This window comes from Homo sapiens, chromosome 17 (genome assembly GCF_000001405.40).
Source record: "Homo sapiens chromosome 17, GRCh38.p14 Primary Assembly".
Lineage (NCBI taxonomy): Eukaryota > Metazoa > Chordata > Mammalia > Primates > Hominidae > Homo > Homo sapiens.
In genome coordinates, this window is record NC_000017.11 from 20,139,212 (window position 1) to 20,156,820 (window position 17,609).

The 17,609-nt window shown below is 44.9% G+C and overlaps 1 protein-coding gene across 34 annotated transcripts in view, besides 4 other annotated features; it reads left to right on the forward strand.

Moving 5' to 3' along the window:
* Positions 1–17,609, forward strand: part of SPECC1 (sperm antigen with calponin homology and coiled-coil domains 1) — a 309,668-nt gene that overhangs the window by 129,853 nt on the left and 162,206 nt on the right. For 8 of the 34 annotated variants that reach the window (XM_017025321.2, NM_001033555.3, XM_047437070.1 and 5 more), the window contains exon 1: positions 16,861–17,025. The exons of the other annotated variants lie outside the window; for them this stretch is intronic. In XM_017025321.2, coding sequence (XP_016880810.1) covers positions 16,986–17,025 — 40 coding nt within the window. In that variant the 5' untranslated portion in view covers positions 16,861–16,985. Of the gene's footprint in view, positions 1–16,860; positions 17,026–17,609 lie in introns of those variants that run through there. 34 annotated transcript variants of the gene reach the window in all.
* Positions 4,152–4,660: an enhancer, noted in NCBI's record as "H3K4me1 hESC enhancer chr17:20046676-20047184 (GRCh37/hg19 assembly coordinates)". NCBI's record gives its function as "activates a minimal SCP1, AML or CMV promoter by ChIP-STARR-seq in primed H9 embryonic stem cells {active_cell/tissue: H9 hESC(primed)}" and the evidence as "EXISTENCE:reporter gene assay evidence [ECO:0000049][PMID:30033119]".
* Positions 16,573–16,682: a silencer, noted in NCBI's record as "silent region_8306". NCBI's record gives its function as "represses an Ori minimal core promoter by ATAC-STARR-seq in GM12878 lymphoblastoid cells {active_cell/tissue: GM12878}" and the evidence as "EXISTENCE:reporter gene assay evidence [ECO:0000049][PMID:35858748]".
* Positions 16,693–17,142: a silencer, noted in NCBI's record as "silent region_8307". NCBI's record gives its function as "represses an Ori minimal core promoter by ATAC-STARR-seq in GM12878 lymphoblastoid cells {active_cell/tissue: GM12878}" and the evidence as "EXISTENCE:reporter gene assay evidence [ECO:0000049][PMID:35858748]".
* Positions 17,153–17,362: a silencer, noted in NCBI's record as "silent region_8308". NCBI's record gives its function as "represses an Ori minimal core promoter by ATAC-STARR-seq in GM12878 lymphoblastoid cells {active_cell/tissue: GM12878}" and the evidence as "EXISTENCE:reporter gene assay evidence [ECO:0000049][PMID:35858748]".

Genomic DNA, 17,609 nt, shown 5'->3' on the forward strand with positions numbered 1-17,609 from the left:
TCCAAGCCTTTGGGTTACAAGATAGACAGAAGTCCTTGATGATTCCCAAACCTGCATCTCGGATCCCAACTTGCCCGTTGTACTCCAGAAACACTCCTCCCACTGTTTGCTGAAAATGTCTGGGGAATATTCTGCATGTGTATTCATTCATTCCTTCAATACATATTTAGTGTCTACTATGTTCCAGGCATCTTTCTGGGTGCTAGGGATGCAGCAGTTAACGACAACAAAAAAAGTCCCTGCTCTCATGGATCTTACATTTCATTCTCAACATGTCTTAACCAAACCCATCATCCTCGTTTCATTATAGAGTTGTTTAACTGCTTTCTCTAGCATCTGGATTTGTCCTAACTGAAGTGGCATTTCTCAGTCCTCCAGATACATTCTAGTGTTATCTTTATTAACTTCCTTTCTCTCAACATGTAATTGTCATCTACAGTTGCATCTTACACTTCTTATTTATTTATTTATTTATTTTTTGAGACGAAATCTCGCTCTTGTCTCCCAGGCTAGGGTGCAATTGCGCAATCTCGGCTCACTGCAACCTCCGCCTCCCCGGTTCAAGCAATTCTCCTGCCTCAGCCTACTGAGTAGCTGGGATGACAGGTGCCCATCACCACGCCTGGCTAATTTTTTGTATTTTTAGTAGAGACGGGGTTTCGCTATGTTGGCCAGGCTGGTCTTGAACTCCTGACGTTGTGATCCGCCTGTCTCAGCCTCCCAAAGTGCCGGGATTACAGGTGTGAGCCACCGCACCCAGCCCACTTCTTTTTATTTCTTTTGCATTCCCCTGACTTCACCCAACACAGCATCTCTTACCCAAAGCACAGTAGCTTCCTGACTTGAGTTGCTGCTGGTGGTTAATGCTTACTCTCTCGTCCTATGTGAGTAGGATCATTTTCGGCCCATCAATTGAAAAAGTTGGCTAAACCAGGGAAACCTAAAAAAATTAAACTATACTTTTAAACATTTTATTTTCACCCAAAACATATAACTGCACATTTGTTCACTCATCTTTAGTTATAGAGCCAAGACATTGTCTTACAGTGGTCTTGTTGATTGAAGTTTTTTTAAACATCTTTCCATTCTTATATCTCCTATGATTTCCAGTTTTAGTTTTTTTAAACATGAGAAAGAACGAAAATACTTAAGAGGAAGATTGGATACTGAATCCTTTCACATGTTTGCAAATATTCCTCTATTATAATTGCTTCAGCCATTTTTAGTGACTCATCTTCATTGAGTCTTTTCAAACCATTCAGCATGTCTTTTGAGGAAGCGATATCTCTCCCTCTTTGTACTCATATTTCACTAGTTAATGTACAAAGTTATGGAAATAAATTTGCAAGTACAACTAGCATAAATAGGTTTGGGAACAAATATGCTTGACTCTTACTATGAAGACAACCCACATGATGGGAGCATGAGTGCCCAGGTGTCCCAGAGAGGAGACTACCAGCCAAAAGTGTTCATCTTGCCAAGGGTGTCAGTCAGTGTGTCCTGTAAACATGGGGTGCATTGGTTATTTTGGTGAATTGATTATCTGTAAAATGTTCAGTAGAGAGTGCATAAGAGAGCAACTTCTGTATTACCAGAGTAATCTTCCTAAGCCACAGCTGTCATGAGATCACTTCTCTGCTCGAAAACCTTCAAGCACTCCTCACTGGTTGAGGGGCCAAGGGCAACATCTTGCCTTGTGATTCATTGTGATCTATGGCTGTCTTACCTCCCTCCCCCGTTGGTGCCTTGACTGTGACCTTTTCACAGTCACTCTGGTGAACAACGACGGGGCCTGCTGCCGGGGCCTTGCTTGTCTAGGCTGTGCATGTCCAAGCCAAGCCCCTCCCTCCCTGCTGCCCCCTTCTCTCCTCCTGCCACTGCAGACCTTGATGGATATGCTGTTCACCTGGAAAGGACCCGCTCATAGTAGCACCTCCTTCAAAAAGCGTTTCTTGAGCTCCTTTCAACAGGGCATGCTTTTTCCTTTAAAAACCCTTCTGCAGCACCCCATGTGTATTTGTTAAGTCACTCCCATATCCTACCTATACTGCTTCTCCTGCCTAATAACTCTCTGTTGCCGTGAGTTGAACCCAGCTCACTGGACCTGCTCGCTGCTCATTCAGCAAGCAGGCAACTCCTGAGTATGGGCGATGCTGTCCCCTTTATCTCCTCTTCTTCAAAGACTGTGTGTCTTTGAATGCGAGCTCACCAGGCTCCCCCAGGCTTCAGTCATGCTAACTGATTCAGAGCGAGGACATGGCTCTTTTGAGGTTGTAAATAATACATCAAGTCTTGAAGGCTTATCTGCTTGTCTCCCTTGACTTTTTCAAGAAGCAGCTTTATTGATAATAATTTACATACCATAAAATTCACCCATTTACAGTGTGCAATCCAGTGAATTTTAGTGAATTGACTGAGTTACAACCATCACCGCAGATGAGTTTTAAGATATTCCTGTCACTCCAGAAATACCCCATGCTGCTGTTTCCAGTCAATATCTGTTTCCACCACCAGCTCCAGGCAACCACTAATCTGTTTTTTATCCGTATAGCTCCTCCCTTGACTCTCCCTGCCACTTCCTCAGAATTGGAGTGTTTTCTGGACTAATGTGTGTGCTATTTGCCTAAGGAACTTTTCTTCCGATTCAGTTACGTAACTTTGTGATCTTCTCTTTCACTCATTCTCCCCATGTTCAAGTTTCTCTTGGTTTTCTTTGTTGTGTGAACCTAGTCTCTGTTCACCGAGTTGGCCTTTGGCTTATTAAGAAAACTGAGCTTTTTCCCCTCTTTCAGAATATGGAAAACTTGAATAGTGTCATGTACAAATATTGTAGTGTCATGTACAAACCAGATGCTGAATGTTATCTACCGAATGAAGGAATCTGAGCCCTGCTAAGGCATGGGAAATCTTGTCTTCTGTTACATTCAGCATAGTGCGTGTAAAGTCACTAAATTATTATTTTGGTTAATAAATACTTTTTATTTTTTGGTAAGGAAAATTACATTGTTTTTATTAAGATGATTCATGCTTGATAGCTTAAAGAGTACAAACAAAGTAATACCTTAAAAAGAAAAGTATAATATGATCCAGTATTTCCACTTCTGGTTATATACCCAAAATAATTGAAAGCAGGAACTTGAAAAGATATTTGTGCGCCCGTGTTCTTAGCAGCATTGTTTGCAATAACTAAAAGGTGGAAGCAACCCAAGTGTCCATCAACAGATGCGTAGATCAACAAAAATGTGGTATATACATACAACAGAATGTCAGGCCAGCCTTAAAAAGAAAGAATTTCTGACACGTGCTACAGCATGTGCTACCTCAAAGACATTATGCTGAGTAAAAGGATTGTGTGATCATTCCTATGAGGGACCTAGAGTCACCAAATCCATAGAGACAGAAAGTTGAATGGTGATTGCCAGCGGCTGCGGGAGGAGGGAGTAGAGAGTTATTCTTTTATAGGTACCAAGTTTTGGTTGTGCAAGATGAAAAGAGTTCTGGAAATGGGGGTGGTGATGGTTGTACAACAATGTGAATGTACTTAACACCTCTGGACTGTACACTAAAAATAGTTGAGATGCCAGCCTGGCTGACACAGTGAAAGCCTATCTTTACCAAAAAAAAAAAAACCAACAAAAATTAGCCAGGCATGGTGGTGCGTGCCTGTAGTCACAGCTACTCGGGAGGCTAAGGCAGGAGAATCACTTGAACCTGGGAGGTGGAGGTTTCAGTGAGCTGAGATCGCGCCACTGTACTCTAGCCTTGGTTGACAGAGTGAGACCCTGTCTCAAAAAAAATAATAATTGAGATGGTGAGTTTTATGTTACATATATTTTACCACAATTAAAAAATAAAAATAATAAAGGGAATAACAGAAGAAGAACAGAGAAGAAAGTTAAAGTACTATCTGAAACACCACGTCTTAGAAACAACCAGTGTTTGCCACAGGAATATTCTTTATAGGAAAAAAAAAAAAAAGCCTGGGCAACGTGGCAAAACCCCATCTCTATCAAAAATACAAAACTTTAGCCAACCGTGGTGGTACGTGCCTGTGGTCCCAGCTACTCAGGAGGCTGAGGCAGGAGGATTGCTTGAGCCCAGGAAGTCGAGGCTGTAGTGAGCTGTGATGGCACTACTGCACGCCAGCCTGGGTAACAGAGCAAGATCAAGTTTCAAAAAAAAAAAAAAAAGTCCGAGCGTGGTGGCTCATGCCTGTAATCCCAGCACTTTGGCAGGCCGAGGCGGGCAGATCACTTGAGGTCAGGGGTTTGAAACCAGCCTGGCCAACATAGTGAAACCCTGTCTCTACTAAAAATACAAAATTTAGCTGGGCATGGTGGCACGTGCCTGTAATCCCAGGTACTTGGGAGGCTGAGGCACGAGAATGGCTTGAACCTGGGAGGCGGAGGTTGAGCCACTGCACTCCAGCCTGTGCAACAGAGGTAAGACTCTGTCTCAAAAAAAAAACAAAAAAACAACCAGTGTATGGGGATGGTTTTCTAAGCATCTCTTTCAGCGGTGGTACCTTCGTAACGACAAATACCAGTACAGGTTCAGAGTAGGGGGAATCCATTCAGAGTCCTTGAGAGGAGGCCTGCAGCAGGGATGGGGGGCTGATCACGCAAGGCAGGAAAGTTGTCTGTACCTGCAGCAGTGAGTGCCTGATAGGCCTGTGGGGCGGCTTCAGTGCCCACCACAGGGCGTGGGGGAGCCCAGGCAACAGGGAGCCTCCTTCTGCCATTAGTGGAGGGAGGGGCCTAGGCTGCTGAGGTTGAGCTTCCCAAGGGAGTTCTGTAGAGGAGAGAATAAAGAGCACACTATGTGAGTTCACTGAGAGTCCTCGCTTTGAGAAAAGGTGACACACTCCTGGGACTCCCAGAAATACTGCGGGAACTTTGCAGTTGGGACGATAAGTAAATGACTAGGGCCAGAAAAATATTATTTAATACTGTTTTTTTCTTTTCTTTTTTTTTTTTTTTTTTTTTTTTTTTGAGGCAGGGTCTCTGTCTGTCACCGAGGCTGGAGTGCAGTGGTGCGATCACAGCTCACTGCTGCCTTGACCTCCTGGGCTCAAGCTCAAGTGATTCTCCTGCCTCAGACTCCCAAGTAGCTGGGACTACAGGTGCATACCATCATGCTCGGCTAATTTTTTTACTTTTTGTAGAGATGTGGTCTCCCTGTGTTGCCCAGGCTGGTCTCGAACTACTGAGCTCAAGTGATCTTCTTGCCTTGGCCTCCCAAAGTGCTGGGATTGCAGGTGTGAGCCACTGTGCCCAGCCAGTACTGTTAACATGACCCCATTGGTACCCCTAGACTTGTTGGTCTAGGGAAACATGAGACACACAAAATACATAGGAAGGTGTTCAGCCTATAATTTTCCTTTATATATAAGTGAACTTCAAAATCTTGAAGGCCAATGATGACTTTGATTTTTCTGTTTTAGCAATAGGGTCTTGCTATGTTGCTTAGATTAGACTGGAGCTTCTGGGCTCAGGCAATCCTCCTGCCTCAGCCTCCCAAATAGCTGGGGCTACTGGCATGCATTACTATGCCTGGCTCAATGAAGATTTTTTATATTTGTACCAAGGTCTCAAAGAAGGCAGTGGGCAGATAATAGAGGTGTCACACGCTAGGAGGATGGATCACCTAATGAATCAGTGGCTGAGACAAGTACAGAGGTTTTTTTTGTGTGTATAGTTTTATAGTGATTGATATCAGTCTTCTTTCATTTAGATTATAGCAAGGTTATTCATATTTAAGTTAAGCCCTATTAAGGCTAAAAACATTCTAATTCAAGAAGGATGTTCAAGATTCTCTCCTTAAAGATATTACATATTTTATAGTTTGCTGTTTAAAGAAACTATTTGTTTTCTGTGAATCCTGAAATGTTGATTTCTCTTTGAAGATTCTGTGTCCAGCTTCTACTGGAGACAAAGTGGTTTAGTGTAGGAAGAACGAGTGCTTCAGTGGCAACAGGCCTGCATTAAATTTCAGCTCCCTACTTTTAATCTATATGACCTTGGGCAAGATAGCGTAATCTCCCTGAACCTCGGTCTCTTGCTTGTAAGTAGAGAAAAAGAATGGCTACTGGGTCAGACCACACCGGATTCGCTGGATTGTAACACTGAGGAAGTGTGCCAAGTGCGTAACAGAATGGAAAGTAGGTAACTCAGAGGGTGTTTAATTCAGGGGTTCGGCATGCCAAAAAGGGTGCAGGTTCTTTCCATCTTTTTGGTCGACCACCCTGATTGTGCTGGCTTGGCCCTCTGGCCAGCTCCCCTCGTCATCACGAGATAACTACTAGAGTTCTGGCAACCTCAAACCGAGGACAGAGTCCCATGGAAGAAGAAGGTTTCAGTATCTCTTTAAGAATAAGAGAACTTTCCCCAGCCTTCCTCCCAGCAGACCTCCCTTCAAATGTTTTTGGTCAGAACTGGGTCTCATAGCATCCTTGACCTAGTCACTAGCAAGGAAAATGGAATCACCAGGATTAACGTAGGCTGTGCATGAAGGATCTACTACTCAGCTAAGAACAGGCCACCTTCTCTCAGGGCCAGCTCCCTGGCAGGCAGGAAGGAAGGAAGGAAGATGTGGGAAATGGCTGATAGGTAGTCCACAGAGACTGCCACACTTGTTTTGTGGTGTTAATTTAAGGTCTAGTTTATTATTTGGATCAGGAATGTTTAAAAAATTAATGGGCTTTATCTTTTAGAGGTATTGTAGGTTTATAGAAAAGTTAGTGGAAAGTATAGAAAGTTTCCATATATACCCCCTCACCATCACCTCCAGACTCCCAAGTTACTAACTTCTTGCATTAGGATGGTACATTTCTTGGAATTGATGAGCCAGTGTAAGTACATTGTTATTAACTAAAGTCCATAGTTTATGTTAGGGTTCACTTTTGGTGGTGTACATTCTATGGGTTTTGACACGTATCCACCATTACAGAGTCATACAGAGTAGTTTCCCTGCCCTAAAAATCGCCTGTGCTCCACCCGTTCATCCTTCCTCCTAAGTGCCTGGCAACCACTGATCTTACTGTCTCTACAGGTTTGCCTTTTTTGTCAGATAGCTGGAATGATGTAGTGTAGCTGAAAAGAAGTGGCCTTTTCAGACCGGCTTCTTTCACTTAGCAGTATGCATTTAAGGTTCCTCCATGTCTTTTTGTGTCTTGATCATTTCTTTTTAGTGCTGAATAATATTCCATTATATGGATGTACCACAGTTTATCATTCAACTATTGAAGGATATTTTTGTTGCTTCCAAGTTTTGGCAATTATGAATAAAACTGCTATAAACATTCATGTGCAGGTTTTTGTGTAGACCTAAGTTTTCAGCTCATTTGGGTAGATATCAAGAAGCTCAACTGCTGGATCTTATGATAAGAATATGTTTAGTTTTGTAAGAAACTGACGCTGGGCATGGTGGTTCACGCCTGTAATCCTGGAACTTTGGGAGGCTGAGGCGGGTGGAACATGAGGTCAGGAGTTCAAGACCAGCCTGGCCAACATGGCAAAACCCTGTCTCTACTAAAAATACAAAAAATTAGCTGGGCATGGTGGCGGGTGCCTGTAATCCCAGCTACTTGGGAGGCTGAGGCAGGAGAATTGCTTGAACCCAGGAGGTGGAAGTTGCAGTGAGCTGAGATTGCACCACTGCACTCCAGCCTGGGCAATAAGAGCAAAACTCTGTCTCAAAAAACAAAACAAAACAAAACTGACAAACTGTCTTTCAAAATGGTTGTACCATTTTGCATTTCCACCAGCAATGAATGAGAGTTTCTGTTGTTCTACATCCTTGCCAGCATTTGGTGTTGTCAGTCTTTTGGATTTTCACCATTCTAATAGGTGCATAACAGTATGGATCGTGATTTTTTTTTTTTTTTTTTTGAGACGGAGTTTCGCTCTTGTTTCCCAGGCTGGAGTGCTTGGCTCACCGCAGGCTCCGCCTCCTGGGTTCAAGTGATTCTCCTGCCTCAGCCTCCTGAGTAGCTGGGATTACAGATATGCACCACCATGCCCGGCTAATTTTGTATTTTTAGTAAAGACAGGGTTTCTCCATGTTGGTCAGGCTGGTCTCGATCTCACAACCTCAGGTGATCTGCCTGCCTTGGCCTCCCAAAGTGCTGAGATTAACAGGTGTGAGCCACCATGCCTGGCCATGGATCATGATTTAAAAAAAATACTGGCACAAGGAAATTTGAACTCTGGCTATTTGGTAAAAAATTATTGTTAATATTTTTTAGTTGAGATAATGGAATTGTGTGTGTGTTTTTTAAAGAGTTCTTATCTTTAGAAATCCATGCTGAAATATTTACCAATGAAATAGGATGTCTTGGATTTGCTTCAAAATAATTGAAGCTAGAGGAAGAAGTGGGTGATAGATGAAAAAAATTGGCTCTGAGTTGGAAACTATTGAAACTGAGTTGAGAGGCATATGGAGGGCCATTATATTAGTTCTCTTTAGTTTTGTGTATGTTGCGGCTTTTCATAAAAGGTTTTTACTAATTAAAGTTTAATCATGTATTATTTAAAAATGATAGAGACAGGGTGCAATGGCTCATGCTATAATCCCAACACTTCAGGAGGCCAAGTAGGGAAAATTGCTGGAGGCCTGGAGTTCAAGGCCAGTCTGGGCAACATAGTGAGATCCCATATCTATAAAACATTTAAAAAAGTTAGCTGGGTGTGATGACATGAGGCTATAATCCCAGCTACTTGGGAGGGAGGCTGAGGTGGGAGGATCATTTGAGCCCAGGAGTTCGAGACTGCAGTGAGCTATAATTGGGCCACTGTATTCAAGCCTGGGCAATAGAGCAAGACTCTGTCTCAAAATAAGAAAAAAGATGGACACTTTGGTGTTTAGTAAAAATTAGGAACTGTCTTCTGGTCCTACCTTTGCTTAAGTTTAGTTCTTAACAGTATTCTGAGGAATAAATGAATATTTGTTGAATATATATGTATTAGAGTTTATTATTCAAGGAATCTTCCTAGAAACTGAAGATTTTTGGTAATATGATAAATTTTACTTGAAATTATTATTTTTAGAGATAGGGTCTCACTCTGTGGCCCAGGCTGGAGTGCAGTAGTGCAATCATAGCTCACTGCAACCTTGAACTCCTGGGCTCAAGTGGTTCTCCCACCTCAGCCTCCCGAGTAACTGGGACTACAGGTGCACACTACCACACTTGGCTGATTTTTTATTTTTTCTAGAGATAGGGTCTTGTGCTGTTTCCCAGGCTGAATTTTACTTTAAATTATTTTAACATTTATGTATTTTTCCAAATAAATGTATTTTTAACTCAAAAGCAAAAAGCAGTACATGTGCACTAGAAAAAAAAAAAAAAGGACAAGCAATAAAAGAACTTATATAAAGGACATCATAATCTTGCCTACTCAGAGAGGGCCACTCTCAATCAGTGCCTTGAGGTATAATTGTTGAAACCCTTTCCATCTTATCCAGGTATCTGTGTCTATATAGTTTTTGTTTATGTACAAAAATTTAGAATTGTATTCTTTTTTTTTTGAGACAGAGTTTTGCTCTTGTTGCCCAGGCTGGAGTGCAGTGGCGCGTTCTCGGCTCACTGCAGCCTCTGCCTCCCAGGTTCAAGCGATTCTCCTGCCTCAGGCTCCCGAGTAGCCGAGATTACAGGCACCTGCCACTGCGCCCAGCTATTGTTTTGTATTTTTAGTAGAGACGGGGTTTCACCATGTTGGCCAGGCTGGTCTCAAACTCCTGACCTCAGGCAATCCCGCCTGCCTCAGCCTCCCAAAGTGCTGGGATTACAGGGGTAGGCCACCACCCCTCGCCCAGCGGATTACATTCTTAACATATGTACTGTTTTGCTTTTAACTTAGTATCTGACACATAGCTTTAGAGACTGCATAGGAAGCCATCATATAGCTGTATTATATTTTATTAAACTTGGACATTTGTGTTGAACATTGTAGGTTTTTCCAGCTTTTTGCTATTACAAACAGAAAGGAGGCAACGTGCAGTTGTTAAGAACACAAACTCTGGAGTTAAATGGCATGGTTTCTCTGCAGAAAAGGGTGAATGTAGCAGGTCTGGGACTGCTGTCCTTAGAAAGGCTGCTTCCAAGGTTGGCACTTGGCTCGTGTCAGGGAACTTGGATTTCGGAAGGGTTCCTGCCACCCTAATTGGTAAGAGTGGCTCACTGCATAAACTGTGCAAACACTGTAGTTTATGCTGAACTCCTGTTTTCCTTCCAGGAGCCTATGTGATCGCCTGGTAAAAACCCTGGATGCTAAGTCTCTAGTGAATTTCCCTGGCAGACATTTCACACGTGTTGTCACAGCTCATTGCTGGAAGAATTAAGCACACCCTGAATGACTACACTGGGGGGAAATTCATGGAAGCTTGCACCTAGTTTCCTCTGGACTTGGTCTTGTAGACCTTTTCCCTTTTCTTTGTATCCTTTTGCTGTCATATATCATAGCTCTGAGTGCAACTGTGTGCTGAGTCTTGTGAGTCCTTTCAGAGAATCACCAAACCTTGGGGTGGACTTGGGGACACAGGTTTAAATCCTGGCTCTGCTGCTTTCTAGCGGAGTAAACTTAGGCAAGTTACTCACCCTCTCAGTCATTTTCTAATCTTTAATTTGAGTTAAAAAAACAGTTTTGTTTTATAAATCGAAATATATAATGTACTTAGAATAGTGCCTGGCATGTAATTATTTCTCAACAAATGTTAAGAATTATCTTGCAAGCTAGATGTTTGTGTATATTTGTAACTATTTCTTTTCTTCTTTTTTTTTCTGAGATGGAGTCTCACTCTGTCTCCCAGGCTGGAGTGCAGAGGTGCGATCTCGGCTCACTGCAAGCTCCGCCTCCCGGGTTCACACCATTATCCTGCCTCAGCCTCCCGAGTAGCTGGGACTACAGGCGCCCGCCACCACGCCCGGCTAATTTTTTTGTATTTTTTTTTTAGTATAGTAGAGACAGGGTTTCACCGTTTTAGTCCGGATGGTCTCGATCTCCTGACCTGGTGATCTGCCCGCCTCAGCCTCCTAAAGTGCTGGGATTACAGGCGTGAGCCACTGTGCCCGGCCTTTTTTCTTTTTTTTTTTGGGACGGAGTCTCAGCTCATCACAACCTTTGCCTCACAGGTTCAAGTGATTTTTTCTGCCTCAGCCTCCCAAGTAGCTGGGATCATCCCTGCACTTTGGGAGGCCGAGGCGGGCAGATCACCTGAGGTCGGGAGTTCGAGACTAGCCTGACCAACATGGAGAAATCCCGTCTCTACTAAAAATACTAAATTAGCCAGGTGTGGTGGTGCATGCCTGTAATCCCAGCTACTCGGGAGGCTGAGGCAGGAGAATCGCTTGAACTCGGGAGGCGGAGGTTGCAGTGAGCCGAGATCGCACCACTGCACTCCAACCTGGGCAACGAGTGAAACTCTGTCTCAAAAAAAAAAAAAAGTGCTGGGATTACAGGTTTGAGCCACCGTGACTGGCCTGTAACTATTTCTTTCAAATAAATTTCTGTAAGAATAACTGCTGAGCTTAAGGATATGTACTTTTTTTAATGTGTTCTGGTCATAGTAGTAAAATATATTTATTAAGACAGATATTTGGTATAGAAAAAAAGTCTTTCCTAATTCTATATTTCAGATATAGTTATTTCTAATAATTTGCTATATACATGTCAAAATTTATTTCTACACATATTAATATGGACAGTAGAATATAGAAATTTTTAATAAAAATGGGACCACATATATATTATTTTATTGTTTATGCCTGTATATAAGGGATCTTTATATTCAGTGAAGTTCCATAAAAACCTTTTTGTCTTCCTTAAAACGCTTAGATTATAGGTGAAGTAAAAAATATGTAATTATAATGTCCAAGTTGTCAACTTAGTTATACCTTTACATTTGAAATTACACATTATAGAAATACAGTAATTTAGAAATTACAGACAGTCCCTGACTTATGATGGTTTGACTTAGGATTTTTTGACTTTGTGATGGTACAAAAGCTATACTGTACTTCAAATTTTGAATTTTGATCTTTTACCAGGCTAGTGATATGTGGAGCTACACTTTTTTGTGATGCTGGGCAGTGGTTGTGAGCCGCAGCTCCTAGTCAGCCCTGCAATCATGGGGGTAAACCTTCAACAGTACTGCGTTGTCAGCATTTTTTTGAATATTGTTTGCCAGCATTTTTGCATCCATCCTGTCTACAAAGCCCATCTCGACTTAGAATATTTTCAGTTTACAATGGGTTATTGGGACGTAACCCATCATAAGTTGAGGAGTGTCTGTACACTGTTGCTTTTTTTATAGTCATCACAGGCGTCTTTGACATGTCACCCTGTCACCATGATCATCAGAGCCACTTTTAAGGTTTACATCAGATACACAGCACATCAGCTTCACTTCCGCGTGTTGCTTGATTCCACTGGACTCTTTGATTCCACAGGAAATTTTATCCTGTTCATATAACATTCAGGCAGTTGGTTTTTCATTTGCCCAGGATGTGTGACTGCCACAACCTGACTGATCCCTGAACTGCTTTTTAAAATTATCCATGGCTGGGCATGGTGGCTCATGCCTGTAATCCCAGCACTTTGGGAGGCCAACTCAGGTGGATCACCTGAGGTCAGGAGTTCGAGACCAGCCTGACCAACATGGTGAAACCCTGTCTCTACTTAAAATAGAAAAATTAGCTGGGCATGGTGGCAGGCGCCTGTAATCCCAGCTACTTGGGAGGCTGAGGCAGGAGAATCGCTTGAACCCGGGAGGCTCTTGTCTTTGACATGCTAGTTCTGTGGGAGAAACCCCAGCTGGGCCTGGTGGCTCATGCCTGTAATCCCAGCTACTCGGGAGGCAGAGGGAGGTGGATCACTTGAGGTCAGGAGTTTGAGACCAGCCTGACCAACATGGTGAAACCCCATCTCTACAAAAATAAAAAAATTAGCCAGGCATGGTAGCATGCACCTGTAATCCCAGCTACTTGGGAGGCTGAGGCACGAAAATCACTTAAACCCAGGAGGCGGAGATTGCAGTGAGCTGAGATCACGCTATTGCACTCCAGCCTGGGCAACAGAGCAAAACTGTCTCAAAAAATAAAATAAAATAAAATAATACAAGCATTGACAGGTACAGAAGTACCATGAGGGAGACAGCATTGAATTCTGTCTGAGATGTGCAGGCAGACCAAAGGGGGGTGATAACAGAGCAAGAATTTAAAAGATGATATATATTACTCTGCTTCAGCTGCCATAACCAATTGCACAGACTGGATGGCTTAAACAGCAGAAATTTATTTCTCGGAGTGTTGGAGGCTGGAAGCCTGAGTTCAGAGTGCCAGCATGGCTGGGTTCTGGTGAGGAGTCTTCTTGGCTTATACATGCCACCATCTCACTGTGACCTCACATAACAGAAAGAGAGAGAGAGAAAGATCTCTTCCTCTTCTTTTTTTATTTTTATTTGTTTTATTTTGTTTTGTTTTTTGAGATGGAGTCTTGCTCTGTTGCCAGGCTGGAGTACAATGGTGCGATCTCGGCTCACTGCAACCTCTGCCTCCCGGGTTCAAGCGATTCTCCTGCCTCAGCTGAGAAGGTGGGACTAGAGGCACGTGCCACCACGCCTAGCTAATTTTTGTATTTTTGGTAGAGATGGGGTTTCACCATGTTGGCCAGATGGTCTTGATCTCTTGACCTCGTGATCTGCCTGCCTCAGCCTCCCAAAGTGCTGGGATTACAGGCGTGAGCCTCCGCCAGCCTCTTCCTCTTCTTATAAGGCCACCTATCCTGCTAGATTAGGGCCCCCCACCCTTATGACCTCATTTAACCTTAATTACCTCCTAAAGGCCCTGTCTCCAAATACTATCACATTGTGGGGGGTAGGGCTTCAACATGAATTTAGGAAGGACACAACTCAGTTCACAGCAGATGAATAAGCATTTGCCAGGCAGCTCAGTTATGGACGAGGTGTTGAAACCGACGGAATATAGCAGATATGAAAGCATAGAGGCCTGAAACAATAGGGTGTGTTCAGGGAGCTACAGCTGGCTCAACATTGCTGTAATATAAGTTGGGAGGGAGAACTTCTGAAAGCTGAGGCTAGAACAATAGGGGTGGAGGTGGAGCACATGATTATGAAGGACCTTGGTATACTAAGCTTAGAAGGACTTCATCTTAAGGGTAGAGGGGAGCCACAGGAACTTCTAGGCAGAGGCATGGCGCAGTCAGATTTGCATTTTTGATAATTCAGGTGGAGGAGCAATTTAAGTAGCAGCGAAAGTGGAAGTAGTAAGTTAGTTGGGAAGCTAATGCAGTAGCCCTTGTGAAGCAAAGATGCAGCAAAGACAAGAGAGGCAAAGTCTGGAAAATGTTAAGGTGATGAAATGTGCAGGACTTGACTAGATATTTTAAATGTGGGAGGTGAGAGAGCCATAGGAGTCCAGGTTGGGTTGGGGTCTTACTTGTCCAGTTTCCATAAAGAGACATGTTAATTACTTGACATTTTACAGAATTAGTATATTGACTCATTGATTTCCAAAACTCTTTGAATAAGTATGTAACTGTTCTGTAGATTGAAGTTGTGTCACTCTTACCATGATCACAAACTCAGGCTCTGCCTATCATTTTGGAACTATTTGGGGAAGTCGACCATCTTTTCTGGGCTAGTTACCTTTTTAAAAGGGGAGGGAGTTGCACTTGGTGTCATATGCATTTCTGCTCTAACATTGTTTCCTGCTATTTATTTTCCTTAGTATATTTGCTTGTACATGCTCAGTATTGTGCTGTGTTTTATAGATTACAGAAATAAAACTGTGACTCTTGTCTTTGACACGCTAGTTTTGTGGCAGAAACCAACTCATGGTACTATACTACCACTAAAAAGAAGTAATGTGTATTTAAGGGCTAATTTGTGTCTGCTGCCTGCAGCCTATACATTGGTTCATTCATTTGTTTTCATTCATTTGTTCCGAGTCTCTGTGTTTATAAAGTTTACACTCTAGTGGAGGAACAATAATTAGTAAACATGTAGTATATGGAATGGTGATCAGTGTCACAGAGGCCAGCAAAGTAGGAGAGGGTGTGTGCTGAGGGTCTGGCTTACTATTTAATGTGGTGCGATGAGAGAAGCCCCCTTAGTAGGGTGACATTTGAGCAAAGGCCCAGGGAGTGAGAGAGGGTGAGACATAAGGTCTATGCAGTGTAGGTGTCGGGAGGAAGAATGTTGCAGGCAGAGGGAACACCAAGTGCAAAGGCCCTGAGATGGGAACATGCCCCGCTTATTTGAGGAACAGTGAGGAGGCCGGTGTAGCAACAGCAATGTGAGAAGGGGAAGGTGAGTTCACTGATGGGGGAAGAGGAGGATTATTCAGGGCCTTGGAGGCCATTGTAAGGGCTTTGACTTTCCCTCCAAGTGAGACAGAAAGACACTGGAGCGTTGCAAGTGGGGGTGTGACATGATTTGACCTAGGCTTTAGAAGCATCACTCTCACTGTATGTGCAGAATGGACTATAAAGAGGCAAGGGCAGGAGAAGTGAGACTGGTTAGGAGGCAGTTGCAGTAATCCTGGCAGGAGATGACAGCGGCTTGGATCGGGGGTAGCAGTGGAGGAGGTGAGAAGTGCTGAGATGTAGGGCTATTTATGATACACATACTGACAGGCGTTGTTGAGGGACGAGATGTGGCATGTGAAAGGAGTCGAGGTTTCTGGCCTGAGTCACTGGAAGAACGGAACTGCCACTTATGGAGATGGAGAGGACTATTAAAAAACCTAAGTGGAGGTGTCAAGAGAAGGTGTCAAGAAGGTAGTTGGACAAATGAGTCTGGAGTTAGAAGAGGGAACCAGCCTGGAGATATGTAGATGGTATTTGAAAGCCACAAGTTGGTAAATCAAAGACCAAGAGAGTATATAGGAAAGAGGTCTGTTGGCTGAGCTTTAGTGCCCAGGGTGGGTCAAGATGAGGAGGAACCAACAAAGGGGACTGGGAAGAGGCTTCTAGGGGAGTGAGCAGAAAACTAGGAGAGGGTAGCATCCTGGAACCAAGTGAACACACTGTTTGGAGGCGTTAGGAGTAATCAGTGGTGTCCTACGATGTTGATGCGTGACACCTGAGAATGGACCGTAGTGTTCAAGTGATGCACGAGATAGAACCAGTCATACCACTAATGGTTTTTTTAGTCCTAAATATTTTTACTGCAAGATTTCGTTGTTCTAAGTGTTTTCACTGTCAGATGAAGGATGAAAGTCGTTCAGGGTAATTTCCATTTTAGTAATTTCCGACAGCGGCAGAACAGTTTCTACTTACGATTGGTATGCATTTTTATTATTAGCCATAGTATTCATTTTGGGTGAGTACGTCTTTGTTAGCGTTATTTTTCTTCACCACCTCCTCGAGTTGTTCATCCATTCATTCATTCACCCAAAGAAATGCTTATTAAGCGCCTGTCCTGCGCTAGTCCTAGGTTTCTCTTGTCCTGATAGGTCTAGCTTCACACGAGCAGGATTTTGCCTTTCCGGCGGCACTAGGCTTCCGCCTCACCGCAGTGGGGTTTTTCCAGCCTACCTTGTGCAGCTGCGGTTCTCAGCATCCGCGGGCGGAGGCCTGCAGCCGGTCAGCCGGTGCGTCCCGCCCACGGCGCGGGGCCTTCTGGCAGCCAAGAAGGAAATACAGATGAGGTGGGCGGACAGTATGCAGATGACGGGGGCGGGCCGCGCCTGGCGGGCGGTGTGCAGTTGAGGTGGTCCGGCAGGATGCAGATGAAGGGGGCGGGCCGCGAGGGCGGGCTTGATGCAGATGAGGGGGCGGGGCCCACGGGCGCGGGAGAGCAGCGGCTCCGCCGGCAGCTGCTGGGAACTGGAAGGCGCCCGGTCCTTTCTTTGACTGGAGCGGACCCGCCGGACGCAACCGCCTCGCCAGCCGGAGCCAGCGCGAGCTCGGCACGGTGGACACCCGGTCCGAGGCCGGCAAGCCGGCTGGTGCCCGAGTCGGCCAAGCATGGGCAACCACTCAGGACGGCCCGAGGATCCGGAACCAGGTCTGTGCGGCTGGCGGGGGTCGCGCCGCAGCCGCAACCCCACCCCCCCTCCAGGCGCCCTTCCCCCACCGCCTCCGGCTCGCGGCGCCGACTGGGGCGAGCGAAAGGCTAAGGTCCTGGGGTGTGATTCTTGTCGTTGGAATGCGCCGCTTGGGATTGTGAAATTACCTGTGCCGACGCCGCGACCAGAAAACGCTGCTCGTCCTGAACGCGCACCTGGGCGCCGGGGCCGCCGGGCAGGCACCGCTGGGTCCCTGCCGCGGGGTTCCCCACTCCGCGCCTGGCCTGCGCCTAGACCAGGTCTCCTGAGCGCGCAGGCCGCCCTCGGACTTTCCGGGCGTTTGCGGGGAGGGCGTGCCCCGCGGCCTCTCCCTGTCGGCCGCCGGCCCCGCAGTTTGTGGCGCCCGCGGCTCTGCCCCTCACACTCACGCCAGGGCTGCCCCGCGACTGTTCCTAACCCAGAATAGTCCGTGCTTGTTCTGGGGTGTCGGGCGCGCCTCTGGTTATCCCGTTTTTACTTCCTCAGTCCTGAGTGAGCTTCGTGGAGTCAGTTGGGCCGTAGTTTTCGTCCTCTGGTAGCTCAT